The sequence below is a fragment of the Homo sapiens genome, chromosome 5 (genome assembly GCF_000001405.40).
Source record: "Homo sapiens chromosome 5, GRCh38.p14 Primary Assembly".
Lineage (NCBI taxonomy): Eukaryota > Metazoa > Chordata > Mammalia > Primates > Hominidae > Homo > Homo sapiens.
Genome location: NC_000005.10, coordinates 173488526 through 173507185, shown reverse-complemented (window position 1 = coordinate 173507185; position 18660 = coordinate 173488526). Strand labels below are relative to the sequence as shown.

General features: G+C 45.9%; 1 long non-coding RNA gene across 2 annotated transcripts in view, besides 2 other annotated features; it reads right to left on the bottom strand.

Moving 5' to 3' along the window:
• LOC105377732 (uncharacterized) overlaps nt 1-18660 on the bottom strand; it is a 139446-nt gene that overhangs the window by 17248 nt on the left and 103538 nt on the right. For both annotated transcript variants that reach the window (XR_001743001.1, XR_007059057.1), the window contains 7 exons: nt 16611-16673; nt 16249-16498; nt 15923-16052; nt 14045-14110; nt 10357-10498; nt 1148-1291; nt 814-988 (listed from right to left, as the gene is read on the bottom strand). This is a non-coding gene — a long non-coding RNA (uncharacterized LOC105377732). The remainder of the gene's footprint in view (nt 1-813; nt 989-1147; nt 1292-10356; nt 10499-14044; nt 14111-15922; nt 16053-16248; nt 16499-16610; nt 16674-18660) is intronic.
• Nucleotides 7819-8485: an enhancer, noted in NCBI's record as "H3K27ac-H3K4me1 hESC enhancer chr5:172925704-172926370 (GRCh37/hg19 assembly coordinates)". NCBI's record gives its function as "activates a minimal SCP1, AML or CMV promoter by ChIP-STARR-seq in naive H9 embryonic stem cells {active_cell/tissue: H9 hESC(naive)}" and the evidence as "EXISTENCE:reporter gene assay evidence [ECO:0000049][PMID:30033119]".
• Nucleotides 13827-13990: a silencer, noted in NCBI's record as "fragment chr5:172920199-172920362 (GRCh37/hg19 assembly coordinates)". NCBI's record gives its function as "represses an EF-1alpha promoter that drives an FKBP-Casp9 reporter gene in an ReSE screen in HepG2 liver carcinoma cells {active_cell/tissue: HepG2}" and the evidence as "EXISTENCE:reporter gene assay evidence [ECO:0000049][PMID:32094911]".

Sequence of the window (18660 nt, the reverse complement as noted above, 5' to 3'; positions counted from 1 at the left end):
CATCTCTATTGCTTCCCTAAACTCCTCCCCACCTTTATAAACAGCCCTTTTTAAACGTCTCAAGTCATCTATTTTGAGTGTCACTTGTTTCCTATGAGAACCCTGATAGATACCCAGGATTAATTCCAGCCAAGGAGAAAAAAATATGAAAGAAAATAAAGGAAAATAAAGCAAAATGACGTGATGGGGAGTAACTGGTTGGGAGGGGGTTATTTTAGAGAGAGTAGTCAGGAAAGGCCTCACTGAGAACAGACACATTGGAACTGGGAGCTGAATGACAAACAGGAGCTGGTCATAGAAGATCCAATTAAATATTTCTATTTGTCCATTGCAATCCTGATCATGCCCCAGGGTTAAACAGGTTCCTTTACTGCAGATCTTCTCAGAGCCTTGAATGTGCTCCTGTGCCCTGTCATTCTCCGGGAAGGGGTAACTAAGCAGCATTTCTCAAACTACACGTTCAACCCAGAACACTTTTCTCTACAGCAGTGCTGTCCCCTAGAAATATAATGGGTCACCTATGTAATTTTAAAAGTTTTAGTAGCCACATTAAAAAAAAATAAAGAGAAGAAGGTGAAATTAACTTTGATAAGGTATTTTATTTAATCCAGTACATCCAAATTTTATCAATTCAACACATAATTAATATAAAATTATTAGTGAGATATTTTACATTCTCTCGAAGACTAGTACTGTATAAGCCTGTACAATGAGTTGTGTTTTGTGTGCTTCCAGCACATCTCAGTCTAGCTACACTTCAAGTGCTCATTAGTCACATATGGCTACAATATTGGACAGTATTGGATGGTATACCTGTAGAGCATTGGATGGGGCTCCTGCTCTGCACGGCACTCTTGCTGACCTGAAAAGGGACCCATGGCCAGAGCCTCCCCTCAGGCAAAAAGCTAGGGCACGATGGAACCTGCAGATCCATTGCAAAAGGTGACATCCCAGAATATTTGTGAGGCATTTTGGGAAACATCTCAACCTATGGAAGAATGGATGGGATTGTTAGTCTCAAATACAAGATAAGACATAGGGTCAAATATTTCTGTTTGTACAGTACTGTTTGGGTCATCTTTTATTAGGATAACCAATCATCCTGAAACTTGGAGGCTTAAAACAACACCAATCATTTTTTACTCACGATTTTGCAATTTAGGCAGGGCTTGGTGGCAACTGCTAATTTTTGCTTTATGTGGCATCAGCTGGGGCATTTTGGCCAGGGCTGGCAGATATCATTTCCACGATGATTCACTCACATGGCTGGCAAGTTGGTGCTAGCTGTGGGCTGGAAGTTCAACTGGGCTGTCAGTATATGAAGAAAGTTCGTGAGCTTCTCTACGTGGCTGCTTGGGCTGCCTCACAACATGGCTGCCATGTTCCAGAAGGCAGAAACAGCCAGTCTTGTCAAAGACAAGCCTTGTACTGGCACACATCACTTCTGCCCAGATTCAAGGGGGTGAAGAAACAGAGAGCCAAAGAATCTGTGACCATCTTAAATCCACCACAGATGCTATAGTATTTTTACAACCATATTTTTAGTTGATCCATTGCAGCAACATTTTTTTCAACTTTTATAATTTATGTATTAAAGAAGCTTGAAATAAATATGACATCTTAATTATTTATGTATGCATGGAACAAAAATGTCTGCTATTGTCATCTCAGTGTACTTTTTCCTATTTTCCTTAATTTTTAAAAAATTAATAGACTTTTTGAGAACAGTTTTAGATTTACAGAAAAATTGCATAGAGAATACAGAGTTCCCATCTATACCCCACCCACCCCTCCCACACACACAATTCCCCTATTACTAGCATCTCATATGTGTGGTACATTTGTTATAATTAAAAAACCAAGATTGAAACATTATTATTAACTAAATTCAATGGTTCATTCAGGTTGCCTTAGTTTTAGCCTGATGTCCTTTTCGTGTTCCAGGAACCCATCCAGGATGCCACCTCACATTTAGCTGTCATGTCTCCTGAAGCTCCTCTTTGCTGTGAGTTTCTCAGACTTCCCTTGTTTTTAGCAACCTTGGCAGTTCTGATGAGTACTGGGCAGGTATATTGCAGGCTGCCCTACTATGAGAATTTGTCTGGTGTTTCTCTCATAATTTTACCGAGGGTATGGGTTTGTGGAAGGCAGATCACAGAAGTAAAGCACTATTTTCAGCACATCATATCCAGGGTCATGCTGTCCACATGGTTTATGACTGCTGGTGCTGGCCTTGACCGCCTGGCTGAGGTAGTGTTTGTCAGGTCTCTCCACTCCCCACTGCCCAGTTTTCCCCACTTTGCATGGCGAACTCTTTGGAAGAAACGTGCTATGCACAACCCACGCTTGAGGAGTGATGAGTTATTCTCCACCTCCTTTAAGGTAGAATAGCCTGGCCCAGCGGCTCACACCTGTAATCCCAGCACTTTGGGAGGCTGAGGCAGGCAGATTGCTTGAGCCTAGGCATTCAAGACCAGCCTGGACAATATGGTGAAATCCCGTCTCTACAAAAAATACAAAAATTAGGCGGGCATGGTAGCATGCGTCTGTGGTCCCAGCTACTCAGGAGGCTGAGGCAGGAGGATCCCTTTATCCTGAGGAGGCAGAGGTTGCAGTGAGCCATGATTGTGCCACTGCACTCCAGCCTGGGCAACAGGGTGAGACCTTGTCTCTAAAAACAACAACAACAACAAAAATAGCTACATAAATTACTTGGGATTTTCCCACATAGGATATTTGTTATTTTCTCCTCAATTTATTAACATATCAATCATGTGTTTATATCAAAATGGACTTGTGGTTATTTATTTTATATTTTAGGTTAGAATGCAATACTACTTTATTTTGTTGCTTAAATTGGTCCTGCTTTGTTCCCTGGGAGTTCTTTCATTTACTAGGCAATGTTTTGATTGGATATTATCATCACCATGAGAAGGGTGTTCATTCAAGTGATGTAACAAGCAGAGGGCACAACAGCCCCTCTCTGGCTTCTGACTCTCCTCTGCAGCACACTCAGCACACCTTGGGCCCTTCATTGCTGCCCAGGTCAAGTCCTGGAGGACTGGCTAAAATCACCACACAAACCCTCCAAGAAATCAAAGAGGTCACCGCTGGTTGTAGGAGGTCTTCTTGTGCATGGCCTCTCCATGTTCTGAAAGCTCTTAGTCAAGGAAAAGGTAACTATATACCTCCAGGGATGCACACACAAAGAGAAATCCGAACAGCACCAGGTCATAATGAAGGGGTTCAAGCCTCCATAAATAGTGTTCCCCTAGTCCTTAGCCATCTCAGAAGCAAATTAGAGCTTGCCTCAGTTTCTGGGTGTGAATGAACTCGCTGCCCTGCCTGACCTCCAGCACTCATGGACATCGCAGGAGTGCATTGAGGACACCAGGATGTAGATCCAGGAACACTTACACAGGCCCAGCGTACAAGAGCTGAGCACGCAACAGCTGCTCTCACGACACACGGTCATCCTGGAGCCTCGAAAACAATCCTCGCTTTGGCCCCAGATCCCAAGGAACAAGAGTCCTAGCTACGGGCAGTGATTGCCCAAATACTTCTCTTCTTATTCAGCAGAGAACAATCTTGAGAAATAAACTGGCTTTGGAGGAAAGAATGAAAAATCCCATCACAAAGAGGGCCCTAAAGCAGAATCATCGTTTGAAGAAACCTTCATACAGGGTCAGATACTTCAAAGGTCTACATTGTGTCAATGGATTAAATATGTGGCTTTCTGTGACAGGGGAAGCTATTTCAATCTATATCTCTATGATGTGCTCAAATAGTCATTCAAATACTCAAGAAGAATTTCAATACCCCAGTTCTCATTCACGTAGGGCAAATTCCGTATAGACTGCTTTTAAAAGCTTTCTCAACACAGGAAATTCTTTTTTATTTTATTCTTTTTAAGTCCAACATCTCTTTCCAAGTATTTTTAAAATAAAGCTTTATTATAAGCTTGAGGCCAAGAGTTCAAGGCCAGCCTGGGTAACATAGCAAGACCCTGTCTCTACAAAAAATTAAAAAACCAGCTGGGTGTAGTGGCACATGCCTGTGGTCTCAGCTACTTGGTAGGCTGAGGCAGGAGGATTGCTTGAGCCCAGGAGATTGGGGCTGCAGTGAGCCATGATCGTGCCACTGCACTCTAGCTTGGGCAACAACAGGACACTGTCTCTAAAAAATGACAACAAAAATTCAAAAATTTTATAAATATAAGATATTTCAAACATATAAGCAAGTCGGGAGAATACTAGCACATATCTTGTAAGCTCTAACCAAACTTATTGTCTTATCATGATGCCATTTTTCCCACCAACCTTTTTTTAAAACAAAGAAATAAAACAGGCTAGGCATGGTAGTTCACGCCTGTAACCCCAGTACTTTTGGAGACCAAGGCAAGTGGATCACTTGAGTCCAGGAGTTTGAGACCAGCCAGAGCAACATGGTGAAACCCCATCTCTACTAAAAAAAATACAGACAATTAGCCAGGCGTGGTGGTGCACTGCACTCTGGCCTGGGCGACGGGAGTGAGACCATATCTCAAAAAAGAAATAAAACATTACAGGGCCCCTCACAGCCTCTGTATACATCCCCATTTCTTGCCCCCCGCCTCCTTGCCCTCCCCTAGCTAGAGCTGCTATTTTTGGTCATTCACATGGGGGTCTTTTTTCCTTTCCCACCACACCTTTATCCTCTCCACTGGGAGCCATCACTGGGAAAGCACACTGGGAAATGCATGCAGCAGAGCCCTGCTACGGAACTGCTCAGCCACAGAGCAGGCTGGCGGCTGAGCCAGCCTGGTAGGAAGAGGAGAAGACCAAGGATGAAAATCAGAGGGTGGAACTGGAGGCACAGGGCCTGGGAACCGCACTGGGGACCTCCTAAAGAAGCATTTCTACCTCCGGAAGACACGATAGGCTGCACTAGATAATATGATCTGTTTTGCCTCAACTCTCCTTGTTTTTCCTAAGTCGCGTGCCCGTGAGGAACATGATTCCACATTTTAAAAATCTTATGCTGTCTCTCTTAAAGGACTGGGTGCCCAGGCCGGGGGCGTGGCCCAGAGCTGGAGCACTAGAGAATGGCGCAGCGTTAGGAAACAGTGAGGGTGAGGCCAGTGCTGATTTGGTTGCGCGATACTGTTGAGGTCCAATGATGTACAAAGTGTTATCAGACTTGTAAAAAAAATTTTTTCATAAGCTAGGAAATGTTCTGGCAGGCTAATGGGCTCCAAAAATCAACTTTCAGGGCCTCTGCTGATGTCTTAATTAATGCTGTATGGATGAGTTCTTGCAGGAACATCAGTGAAAATCAAGCCATAAACAAGAAAGAAAAAAAGTCCAGGGCGGGGAGGAGGAACACACTGCTTTGCTAAATTTCCACCCAAGTTCAATTGTGTTATGGAAACTTGAACTGAACCCTTCCAAAGAGTTTTCAAAATATCACTTGCAGACTGGTTAAACTGGAAGCATGTGGAAGCATGTGTCAGTTTTCAACACTATAGACCCAGACCTCAATCCAGACTTTGAATTGCTGCATCCCCTCGAAGCAAAGGAAACCATGAGGACCCTGCTTGATGCCAGGCATTGGAGTGAGTGTTTCGTTTTCTATGGCTTATTTAATCCTCACAAAACCCTCTGAGGATGGCATGAACTCCATTTGATAGATGACACTCACAGAGGTTAAGCAACTGCACGGGTAACACAGCCAGGAAATAGTTTATATACGGGCTGGCCTTGGATGAAACACAACCAAATGTGAGTGCCTATTTTTCTCGGTGGTGTCACCTGTGTTTGGTGTTGGCTGGGCTGTTTCATTTGCCGGGAACAGAGGAGTGCCCGGGTTCTCTCTGGACTTGGGGCTGGACTACGAGAATCCAGAGGAAGTGCAGGAGCCTAGGAAGCAAATGCATTCACAGTAGCCGGACCCAGGCTTCTTGGAGGATCTAACAGTGCTTCTGCTGAGTGAGCAACATGGCCACCGATTCTGCAGACTGCCCCTAACACTCTCACTCTCGCTCGCTCTCTCTTCATCAGAGCTTCTTGCCGCTCTCTGCATCAACCTATTTTCAGGTTTCTGCCTCCTGCTCCATATCTTGACTTCCACCAGATGCCCCTCTGTGTGCATGTGTCTCTTTTTCTCAAAGGACAAGCTGATGAGAAATCTCCCAATCCAGCATGGGCATTGCCATATGTCCAACCAATCCTGGGTCCAACCATGTGTGACCAGGGTGGCAAGGTCACATGACAAAAATGTGGCTAATTATGCAGAAGAATTCACTTTTTCAAAGAAAGGAGGTGTGAGTGTGGCATCTCGGGGGCTTCACTATTTGGTTTGTGTGACTGTGAGTGGCTTCAAACAACAGATATTTACTTTCCCACAGGAAAGGGACACCTTTCACAGTGTCACAGGTCTGCACTCCCTCCGAAGACTCCAGGAGCAACTCCTCCCTGGCCTCCTTGGCTTCTGGCTGCCTCCCTCCAGCCTCTGCCCCTGTCTTCATGTGGCCTCCTTCTCCCTGTGTGGCTGTGTGTCCTCTCCTCTTATTACAAGGACACCAGTCATTGGAGTTCATGCCCACTCAAAATCCAGGACGCTTTTGTCATGAGAACCTTAATGAATTACATCTACAAAGACCCTATTTCCAGATAGGGCCACATCCTGAGCTTCCAAGGGGACATGAATTTGTGAGCTACACTATTTGAACATGACAGTGTATCTCCAAGACACTGTAGCGCCAGCCCCCAAAGTGTACCAAGGACTCGGAGAGAGTGGAGGCCAACCCTTTGCTGTTTCTTTGGGATCTGCCTCAGTATGGCGCCAGGTGCTAAGCAGATGGCTATTGAGTGACCTAGAGTAAACCGGAAATAAATTCAGAAAAATCAATCGGTGCATGATTTCATTAAAGTTCCCTCCATGTATGCAGTTCTGTACCCACCGTTGGCATCCCCTAGTCATCACTGCTGCCTGGTAGCAATGTACGGGGCATCCCACACCACACAGCACTGTTTACAGAGATGTGGACTTGTGACTGTCCTCTCCTCAGGACAGACGTTGGCCCCATAGCTTCTCCAGCCCTACAGTCCACCTAGTGCAACCTCTGCAGACCTAACTGTGTCTTGCAGTGTTCCCCTGACCGAGAGCTCGCTGAGTCCAAAATCCACACAAAGGGCCTCTTCAGGTTCCCTCCTAGTCCTGTTGCAGCTCAGCCTTGTTCCCTAAATGTTCTCTGGTGGGAAAACAAACCAAACCAAACCCCAGAACCCTGGTTTGGTTCTCAGCGATATAAACAATATTTGGATTTGGTTCGAGGTTGAGCAAACGAGTGCAGTTTGTTCCGGTTTTTGGTTCAAGGTTCAGGCCAAGTCTCTGCTCCAGACAGAAAGAATGTCCCTGGAATGAATGCCCCTTCCAACTAGGACTCAACAGCTAAAAGGCCAGGGTGTCCCAACGCAGGCCGCCTGCTCAGAGGACTCCCAGGGACCTCCCTGCAGCTTCCAATCCAGGCCCCCAAGGCCCCGGGGACTGGGCCTGGCAGCACACCTGCCCAATTCTCTGGGCCCATGCCACCTTCCATGGCCTAGAAGCAGAAGGCCATGGCCCCACAGGCTAGGCGCCAGGGCAGCTGAGCAAACACCCTCAGCTCAACTGCCTGGAGGCAGGGGCAGCCGGGGAGTGGGTGCCCCTGCATAAATCCGCCACAGTGGCCACATGGCACAGCACCTGCTCCCTCTCTCTGGTCAGGGTCTAAACTCAAACACTGCCCAGCAGAGAACCCAGATAACGAAATAGAACGTTACACTGAGCAGGAAACAACAGGGAGTGGTGGGTACTGTGGGAGCCACGCAGAGGTATGCACATTCAACCCACCGCAGCCTTAGTTCAGTGCACAAAGCATCCAGCTGCCGCTTGCTGGTCAGAGCAGCCTGCCAGAGGCACACACCACAGCTTCCAGAGCAAGCAGTCCTACATCCAGAGCAGAGTTTCTGGGGGCCATTCTGCTCTCTCCTGCCCCAGACAGGAAGCCAGGCAGGGCCAAGGACAGGGCATCAAAAAGCCTCATCCCTACGGAACAACTGCAGGGGACGGAGCAGCTGGGGGTATTGGGGACACCTGGCAGTGAATCACTCCTGAGGAATGTTGAAAGGAAAACACAGTTGCACTCTGGCCTCCCTCCCACTCGGATCCACGCATCAAAGGGGTCCTCGGATGCAGGGAACTTAGTGGGCTGGGTTGATCGGGCTTGCTCTGAATGTTGGACACCAGAGGGCTGGGATCGAAAAGCAGCTCCTGAGGGACTGCCCCAATTCTGGGTTGTGGGGACAGACGCACCTCCAGCCACCATGGGGGAAACTGAGAAACACTGGCAAGGGAAGCGGAATGAAAGCGCGCAAGAAGGGCTCTAGTCCAAAACACTCCTCTTTCTCAAGGTTATTTTTTTCTAGACTTGCTCTTTAAATCACCATCCAAACGGCAGCCTTATCAAAGGCAACTCAGGTGTCCCCTGACAGCCCAAAGCCTCTGCCCAGGGAAAAGGCCGTTTCTATTCTGCCTTGGATAGAAATCACAGCCTGAGACACAATCCAGAAATATTTCCCTGTGCTGGGCGCCCGGAGAGGATTAGACAGGAGCACATGTGATTTCAGCTTGGGTGTACTCGCCGCTCAACTATGCTTGCTACGTGCTGGATTCAATTATAGGTTTTCTTACACTTATATCTTCATTAGTTCTACATTGCCGAGTGGATGGAATGTGCTGTCAGCTTAAAAAAAAAGTGTTGGTTTTTCTTCCCCCCAAGGATTCAACACTGTCCAGTCCTGTTAAAAAAAGAAAGAAAAAAAAAATCTTGGCTCACGCGTACATTGCTAATGGGTATGGAATTGATTCACAAGTCCCCAACTCTAGTTATATAAAAGTAATTACTGCAACCTAGAGTAATTGGTTCCATATCCAATATTCACAGAAGGCTGCATATGTGTATGTCTGCGTGTGTGTGTGTGTGTGTGTGTGTGTGTGTGTGTGTGTATTTAGGATTGAGAGATTAAAAAATTTTAAATGAAAAAAAACATATTCAAGAACATTTAAACTACCCATACATAAACTCCTAAAAAAATTATTTAACTGTGATAAAGATCTTGAAACAAACAAAAACGGCAGAGCTCACAAAAGATCAGAGCCCTTATGATCCAAGCATTCCAAGACTGGGGAACGGGCCATCGGGTGCGGGAAGCCACGCAGAACGGGGTCTCCAGCAGCCCGAAGGCCCATCCCACAGCCGGCCACTTGCAACCTGTGGTGGCCACTTCCTGCTCGGTGGCGCAGCCTCCTCCCGGGCACCCATGAAGCCTTTGCCTGACCTCTGTCCATGGAGTTGCTTGTCCTATTTGTGGCTCTGAGAACCACAGTTCTCACTCTGTCCCCCAGGTGGGTCCCAGAGGGCTGGAAGGCATTGTCCTAAGAGGACACAGCAGGGGTAGCGTGGAACATTCCCATACAGCTCCAGGATCACTTTAGGGAGAAAAGGGATCCACGGAAAGGAACCATGGATAAGAAGGAAGCTTTGTGGGAGAACAAAAAGACACCAAGAGTTGGAAACCAGGAAGGAAGTTAAAGTCAGGCCTTCCCCAGCGATGTGGATCAATTCACAGATTTGTGTCATGGATCTAAACGTGACACTTGACATTCATCTCTGTTAGGTGTCACACTTGGTTGGAGCCTAAGACCTTTGGCATTTTCTTTCCATCGTCTATAGCATCACCTTTCTATCCTGGCTTTGTTTCATCTGCAAATGTGATAAGCCTGCCTTCCATATCTTTATTGAGACCATTCATGAAAATGCTGTATAAGGAAAAGCCCTCCCCCGACCCAGAGTCCTCCACACAGATCGGTCTCCATCCATTCATCAAGAAGCGTTGTTCAACAGATGTACATTCACCTACCCGCTCTGCTATCCATCACACAGTTCCCCATTTTACCTGCATGGGGGATTTAGGGGATTGAGAGGAAGTAACAACTCGGAAATCAGGTTGCTAATGATGTCTTCTCTTAGTTTGAGTTCACGAAGAGTTAGAAAATGCAGTGTGCTAAAATGACCTAGTGGAGCATGCGTGCAATGCTGTGGACCCTGGCCCAGGCTACTACTGCAAATTCCACACCAAAACTGGAGAGACTGTTGGTTTCTCCTTGTGTTATCTCTGGCCAGCCTCTGTGGATTCTCAGCCTGGCAACACAGTCCTGTTTAAAAAGTTCTGGCTACTACGCGGGGTCTGTTACACACTGCCTTTGATCCTGGGGTCTGGACTGAAGCTCAAACTGTGTAATTTTTGTTGGATTCTGTTCGTGCCTCCTTCTCACCTTTGGTTTCATCAGTCTGGAAGAGTCAGTCTTCCAGAAGTATGTCCAGGCCACCAGAGTCCTTGCGGGTGTCTCCTTGACATACAATCCATAAAGAGAGGCAGGAGAGGCAGGAGCACTCTCCTCCACCAGGAGGCTCATCCTAAGGACATGAGACATTCTCAAATCAGAGAACGAAAAGGTGTTAAATGTTTGAATATTTAACTAACATTTAAATATTTGAATATTTAAATAACAGGAAATCCAGTTAACTCCCAATCAGGGTACATTTAGTTATTTTTTTAAAAAAACAGTGTGATTTTGGGGGACGCTCCACAGAGGAGAGTTTAGATTCAAAGCAGCTGTAGTCAGAAGAGCCCATCAGCCCCAGAGACCTAGCCTGAGTGGGGCCTAGGGTGACCTCAGTGCTTCTCCCCACAGTGGCGGTGGCAGTGGTTCACGGCTGTCCCAGTGGAGCGGTCAAGCTGCCACGTGTTCCCTTTTCACAAACTGACAGCAGTTATGATAAGAAAGAATTGTGTTGCCTATTTGAGAACAGAGAGTCCAGCAGGACTAGTGAATGAATTTCAGCTCCTTGTCCAGCTGGCTGGGAGGCAGCTGTTTCTTTGGAATGTAAACCAAGGTAGGGGCTGAGAGATTAAAGTGGAAATGTATCTGCCACGGTCTTTCACAGGAGAATGAAAGGACTGTCTAAAGGCAGATTCTTTCAGAGACCTGGCCTCAGTTTCCTTCTCTGTAAAATGCTAGAGGCCTTGGGCAGTTGTGAAGATTTAGGTAATAGTGCAAGTGGGTGCACTATGGGGGGAGAGAAAGCAAAGGAGGAAAGAGAAAGAGAGAGAGAGAGAGGGAAGACATCATCCCACCATCCACTGCTCTGTACTGCCTGAGGCTAAACCAACTCACAGAGAAAGAAAGGCAGAGGTTGAGATAATTGTGTTCATCCAAAAAATATTTATTGTTCCAGATACTTTTCCAGGTGCCTCAATTACATTAGTGAATAAAACAGATGAAAATCTCTCCTTTCATGGAGAGAAGCAATGCTGAAGCCTGATCAAACTGTGCCTGAAGCCCTACAGTCTCTAGACATTTGAATTACAGGAGCCAATACATTCCTGTAACATGTTAGCCAGTTTGAGGAGTTTGTTTGTTTGTATTGGTTTGCTTTATTTTTTATTTTTGTTTGTTATTGTTGTTGTTACTTGCCATGTGTCCTAACTGCTACTGCCATCCTCTAGCCACGGTGGCACCTGAGCGAAACCTTGGGTCTGGTCACATCTCACTCCACATTCAAGTTCAGGAAGGGCACAGAAAACAAAATGTTTCTGTCTCTTTCTGAAAAACCAGTCACCTCTTGGTGGCACACAGCTCTTATAAATAGCCGGGAAGCAGATTCATGCTGAAAATGGAATTTTTAAAATTTCAAAAAAAGATAAAAGGAATGGGGAAAAAAAGGAAAAAGTTCACAGGAAATTGAAGAGGAATTTGGGAGATGATAGAATGTAACAAGCTTCACTGGACCACAGCCAGAACAACTGGCTGGAACAAGCCTCCCTTATTAAAAGCATCAGGAGAGCCTGTGTGTCCAAGAGCATCAGGACCTCCCTTCCCATGTCTCTCATTTGAGAGCAGTTTAATGAATGGAATTTCTGGGTATAATTTGTATACATTGATAAGCAATGTATATAAATTTTTATTCATTTTGTCCACTGAAGAGCACTTGGGAAAGATCATTCTCTGAACTCTAAAACCTTGCAAATGTCTTTTTTAAAAAAAGAATTAGTGTCTTGTTCTCTTTGTAGGGTTTACTAAATAAATAATCCCAGTTGTCTTAAAGTCTCATGGAATATGTCCTCCCATAACTAAGGAGCAGGACTAAGGATTCTGAAAAAATGTTCTAGAAAGATTTGTAAAAGCAACACATATGCCCCTTCCTTCTACTAGCAAGCAATCTAACAGATAATTGTTGCCTTTTAATAAAGCCCTTTCTTCTACTTTGTAAGTTCCCATGGGCATTTGCTGCCTCACCAGCATCTGCACCTCATCTTCTGTTAACAGCACCCAACTTCTCTTGGGAAGCCAATCTTCCTCCTTTTTCAGGCCTGTGGTTCAGCCATATCTGACCCCAGGTCTTGGCTACACGGATGGACATGGGACCCAGACCCAGCCAATCAGAGCACCACATCCTCCCTGCCACCTGGGAATTGGTTTGGGGATGGTCACGTGGCCCAAACCAAGCCAGTGAGAATTAGCCCAACAACTTCTGTTAAATTACTGGGAAAAACATCATTCTTTCTACTGAGGCTGCTTAGTGATAGGGAGCAAGCCAGAGTTAACAGGGTGCTAATGGGAATGTGGCAGAAGGGAGAGATGCAAACCTGATGATACATCTGGGCCTCCAGATCCAGCTGTGCCTGAAGGAGGCAGGCTCTATCTATGAATTCTGTAAATCTATAAAGATACTTGAGTGTAAAAAAAAAAAAAAAAAAAACCTTCTCTCTCTCTGCTTCTTTTTTTTTTTTTTTTTTTTTTTTTTTTCCAGCTTGCTATGATTTGAAGGTGTCCCCTCCAAAATTTCTATGAAATGTAATCCCTCTGGGGTTGTATTAACAGACAAGGCATTCAGGCACTTTGGGAGGTGATTAAGACGTGAGAGCAGAGCCCTCATGAATGGATTCCTGACCTCTCAAAGGGCTGGAGGGAACTAGTTGAAGTCCTTCCTGCCCTTCCTCCTTCTGCCGGCTGGGGACGCGGCAACAAGGCACCACCTAGGAAGCAGAGAGCAGCCCTTACCAGACACCCGTACCAGTGCCTTGATCTTGGACTGCCCAGCCTCCAGAACTGTAAGAAATGAAATTCTCTTCTTTATAAATTACCCAGTCTGGAGTATTTTGTTATAGCAGCACTAATGGATGAAGATATGGCATAAGCCAGTCTGTTATGCTTTTATCATTTTCGTCTTTGTTTTTGTTTGCCTGTTTGTGTGTTTGTTTGTTTGTTTGTTTGCTTGCTTGTTTGAGACAGGGTCTCACTCTGTAGCCCTGATTGGAGTGCAGTAGAGTGATCGTGGCTCACTATAGCCTCAACCTCCTGGGCTCAAGTGATCCTCCTGCCTCAGCCTCCTGGGTAGCTTAAACTACAGGTGTGAACCATCCAACCCAGGTAATTTTTGTATTATTTGTAGAGATGGGGTTTCACCATGTTGCCCAGGCTGGTCTTGAACTTTTGGGCTCAAGCAATCTGTTTGCCTCAGCCTCCCAAAGCACTGGGATTACAGATGTGAGCCGCTGCGCCTAGCCCGGCTTGTAACATTTTCAGCTAAATTTCCTAGCTCATTCATAAGCAAAGGCTGCCTGCACACAATACAATCAATCATGGCAGTTTAGAAATAGCTTGGGTTCCCTGTCTTCAGTCCTCAGGTGCCTTCCAAAGGCTTCCTCTCTTTAGAAAGATGCAGGTTCACAATGCAGCCCTCCCTTCACTCTCTCTCACTACCCATCCCAGTGTTCCCTAAGCTGTGTTTGGAGACCCCACCTACCTCCAGTGACCCCCATCAACCTTTAAATGTGGCACCGTTGCTGAGGCCCAAGCATTTCTTCTGGAGGTACCCAAACTCCTGTTGTTGTAGGAAATATCCTTGTGGAGATAGACAAGTAACCACTAACTGGAGTCCTGGTCACCATGAACTTACCTGGGGCTTTAGATGTGGACGCTCAACTTGACTTCAGAGAAGTTAGGAACCCTCTCAGGAAGAAAGCTGGGAAGAGCACCATGGAAACTCATCAGGCCTTTCATCACAGATGTGTTTGAATTCTTCTCAGACAGGTTGCTGAAACCCAGCTCCCTGAGTCCTACAGCAAGCTCTGGGTGATTTCTACAAAATCTCGTGATCACATCTGTTCATGTGTGTACAGATGTGTACATGATCACATTTCTATGTTCTTTTTGGGAAAGGCTGTTGAAGATCCCTTTTGCGGGGGGCGGGGAGCGGGGGGGGGGCAAATGCATTGAGGAAAAGCCAAATGGTGGCTGCAAGTGGCCCTCAAATTGAGTAGTGTTCACATGCACACAGAGGAAGGCTGGCCTCAGACCCTGAGCACTGCCCATGGCCTTCCAGGGACAGCTGTGGGCTAGGGGTCTACCAAAGTTCAAAGGACATTTGCAACCTCCTGCTCTGAGCGGGGCATGTGCTAGGCTGAATAATGGCTCCCAAAGATGCCCGTATCCGAATTCTTAGGACCTATGAATGTTAGTTATATGGTGAAAGGGACTCTGTGATGTGACTAAGTCAAGGATCTGGAGATGGGGAAATGATTCTGCATTACCCAGGTGGCTCTGTCTCATCATAAGGGAGGCAGGAAGAGTCGAGTCAGAGAAGGCGATGGGGTGACAGAAGCAGAGGCTGCAGTGATGAGCTTTGGAGATGGAGGAAGAGGCCCCAAGCCAAGGAAGGCAGGTGGCCACCAGAAGGTGAAAAGAGAAAAGCAACAGATTCTCCCCTAAAACCTCTGGAACGCCAACACCTTGACTGATTTTGGACTTGTGACCTCCAGCACTGCAAGAGAATAAATCTATGTTGTTCTAAGCTGCTAAGTTTATGATGACAGAAATCTAATATAGGTCCCACGACTCAATGGGCCAGCAGGACCCCCTGTCCTCAGCACAAGCAGACTTCCTAGGGAGGATGCTACACAATGGCCACCCTACTCCACAGAAGCCAAGATACCTTGGCCCCTCAGCTTGGTCCCAGAGCCCTGCTGATCTGACCAAGCCAGCTGGAGCCTGTGAAGGGCAGGGCACTCAACGTTACTCCACCAATCACCGACTTGGCTAGAACCAAATGGCTGTGGCATCTCCCGCTGCCCCTGCAGGAAGCACCATATGCGAAAAAGTCCCCCTGACACATCATGGAAGATATGCATTAAAGTTGTGATGACCAAATGAAAGAAAACCATGTGTATTAGATTCCTGCAGCCACTGTAATGAGTTACCATTAAGTCAGTGGCTTTAAAGAATTAGAAATGTATCCTCTCACAGTTTTAGAGGTCAGAAGTCCAAAATCAGTTTCTTTCATAGAAAACCAATATCTCATTTTCTTACTCAGAAGTGGGAGCTAAACCTTGGGTACACACAAACGTAAAGTTGAGAGCAATAGACACTGGGGACTCCAAAAGGAGGGAGGGAGAGAGGGAGGGAGAGAGGGAGGGAGGTAGAAAGGGAGAGAGGGAGAGAGGGAGGGAGGGAGGGAGGGAGGAGGGGATGGGCTGAAAAACTTTCTACTGGGCACTCTGTTCAATTATCTGGGCGACAGAAGCCAAACCTCAGCATCACACAATATGCTCTTGTAACAAACCTGCACATCTACCCCATGAATCTAAAATTTTTTAAAAATCAGTTTCACTGACCAAAGTTAAGGAATTCGCAGGGCAGATTCCTCCTGGAGCCACTGAGGGGAGAAACCATTTCCTTGCTTTTTTCTGCTTCTAGAGGCTGCCCACAATCCTTAGCTCGTGACCACTTCCTCCCATCACTCCAACTCCTCGCTTCCATCATCGCGTCTCGTACTCACTGTAGTCCTGCAGCCCTCTTATGAAAACTGTCACGACCACACCCAGCCCATCCAGACAATGCAGGATCATCTCCCCATCTCAAGACTCTTCACTTTGTCACGTCTGCCAAGCCTTTTGCCATGTAGGGTCCTGGGGATTAAGACATGGACATTTGAGAGGCCATTACTCAGCCTACCTCTCACCCTGGCACCCCTACCCATTCTTCACCCTCTCTGCCCTGCTCTGTGCCCTGGCAGGCCAACCTCTCACAGCCTGTGTCACCTGCCCCTTGCCCTGTGGTTCCCAGCTTGGTTTGGCCAATAGGAGGCACAGTCCCACTCCCCACCTGCTCCACTGCAGGTCTGGTCATGGCTGTCTGCCCACAGCTTCTGGAAAGCAGAGCCTCTTTCCATGCCCCAGCTGTCTCTGGGGTCCAACAGCACCTGTCCCGCTTTTCCCATTCAGTTTGGGAGTGGTCAGGGCTTCCTGCAAGGGCTGACCCCAGGTGCCTCTCCATTTCTTGCTGGTCCCCTTTGTCCTGCCCTGCACTCTGATGTAACTCTCCTCTGTGTGTGCCACCTGTTTCCTGCAGAGACCTGATAGATGCAAATTGTCAGATGAAAACCCATGTTCCTTATTAGAAGAGCTTTATTCCAAAGGAGACCAGGGGTAGAGGGAGTGTGCAAACAATGACATACAGTCACTTACCAGAGGGGAGGGGGTGGTGGCCTGTCTGCCCATTGACCAGTCAGGGTATCCATCAGAGTAAACCTAGGTTTCAAATGAAATCACCTTGGCTTGTGGTATGGTTTGGCTATGTCCCCATCCAAATCTCATCTTGAATAGAAGCTCCCATAATTCCCACATTTTGTGCGAGGGACCTGGTGGGAGGTAACTGAATCATGGGGGTGGTTTCCTCCATGCCGTTCTTGTGATAGTGAGTGAGTTCTCACAAGATCTGATGGTTTTAGAAGCGTCTGGCATTTCCCCTGCTGGCACTCTTTTCTCTCTCCGGCCACCCTGTGAAAAGGTGCCATCTGCCATGATTGTAAGTTTCCTGAGGCCTCCCCAGCCATGCAGAACTGTGAGTCAATTAAACCTCTTTTCTTTATAAATTACCCAATGTTGAGTATTTCTTCTTTTATAGTTTGACAGACAAGGGTGCCCACCAGGATCAATGACAGTGTCTGAGATGTGGACAGAATCCCAGTGCTCAGAGCAATGGAAGTTGCCTAGAGTGTAAACGAACATCTTTATCGGGTCATGGGGACCAAAACAGAGGCCAAAAGGAAGCACACAGAAGGAAGCACACAGGCTTTGAAATCAAATGTGTCTGGGTTCAAAACTTCCTAGTTGTGTGTCTGTGAACACGTCTTGTCCTCTGAGTCTCAGTTTTGTCGTCTGTAAGATAGGATCATAAAGCCTCCCTAAAGGGCTATGATGAGAACTAAAATTACCAATGATACATAATCGGGCCTGGTCCATGGAAGTCTTCAGTAGCAATCATGTATTGTTGTAACTTTTGCTAACCACAAGAACTAACTAACTTTAAGACTATGCTGGTAATGTTTATTAACTAGTAAATGCTTAAATTGACATACCATGTTCATTGGTGTTTATTTTGAACATCTCACTTCCCCTTACAGATTGTTCATAACAAAGGACAGCACCAGCTTGCCATTTTGACAACCACACTAAGACTCTCAGACTGGGGTTTACTATATTAACTTGTTGACCTTTCAAATTAAATTCAAATTCAAGTTCATCTTTCTGAATTGCTAACCAAACCAAAAATTTCCAAACCTCCATCTGAAGAACACGAAGACAAATTTCACAATGAGGATACACAGATAGCAAATAAACACATGCAAAGGTATTCAACATCACTAGCCACCAGAAAAAGGCAAATTAAGACTGCAGTCAGATATCACTAGACTCCCAGTAGAACAGATAAAATTTTAAAATAGTGGCAACACCAAGTGCTGGTGAGGATGTGAACGGACTGAATACATACACTGCTGATAGGAATGCAAAACAGTACAACCACTCTGGAAAATAGTTTAGCAGTTTCTTTTGAAACTAAACATCTACTCATCAAATAATTCATCAGTTGCACTCCTGGGCATTTCTCCCAGAAAAATGAACATTTACATCCACGCAAAATACTTGTACATAAAGCTTACAGCAGCTTTATTTGTAAGACCCCAAAACTGAAAACAATCAAAATGTCCCTTGATAGGTGAATGGTTAAACAAACTGCATCTATTCATACCCTGGAATACTATGCAACCATAAAAAGGAATGAATAATTTGTTACATGCAGTAACTTGGATGGATTTCAAGGGAATAAGGCTGAGTAAAATAAGAAGCCAATCTTGAAAGATCATATACTTTAGGATTTCATTTATATAACATTCACGAAATAACAAAATTATAGGGATGGGAACAGATTAGTCGTTGCCACAGCTCAGGGATGGGGTGAGCACGACACTGAAGGGGTAGCACCAGGGAGATCTTTGTGGTGATAGAACAGCTCTGTACCTTGATTGGAGTGGTAGCTGCACAAATCTACACATATGATGAATGACATAGAACTATACACATCTGTTGTATTAGTGTCAACTGCTTGTTTTTGACATTATACTATAATTATGTAAGATGTAACCATTGGAAGAAACTGGGTGAAGGATAGGAGGAACCTCTCTGTAATATTTTTGCAACTCCCTATGGAGTTATAATTATTTCAAGTAAAAAAAAT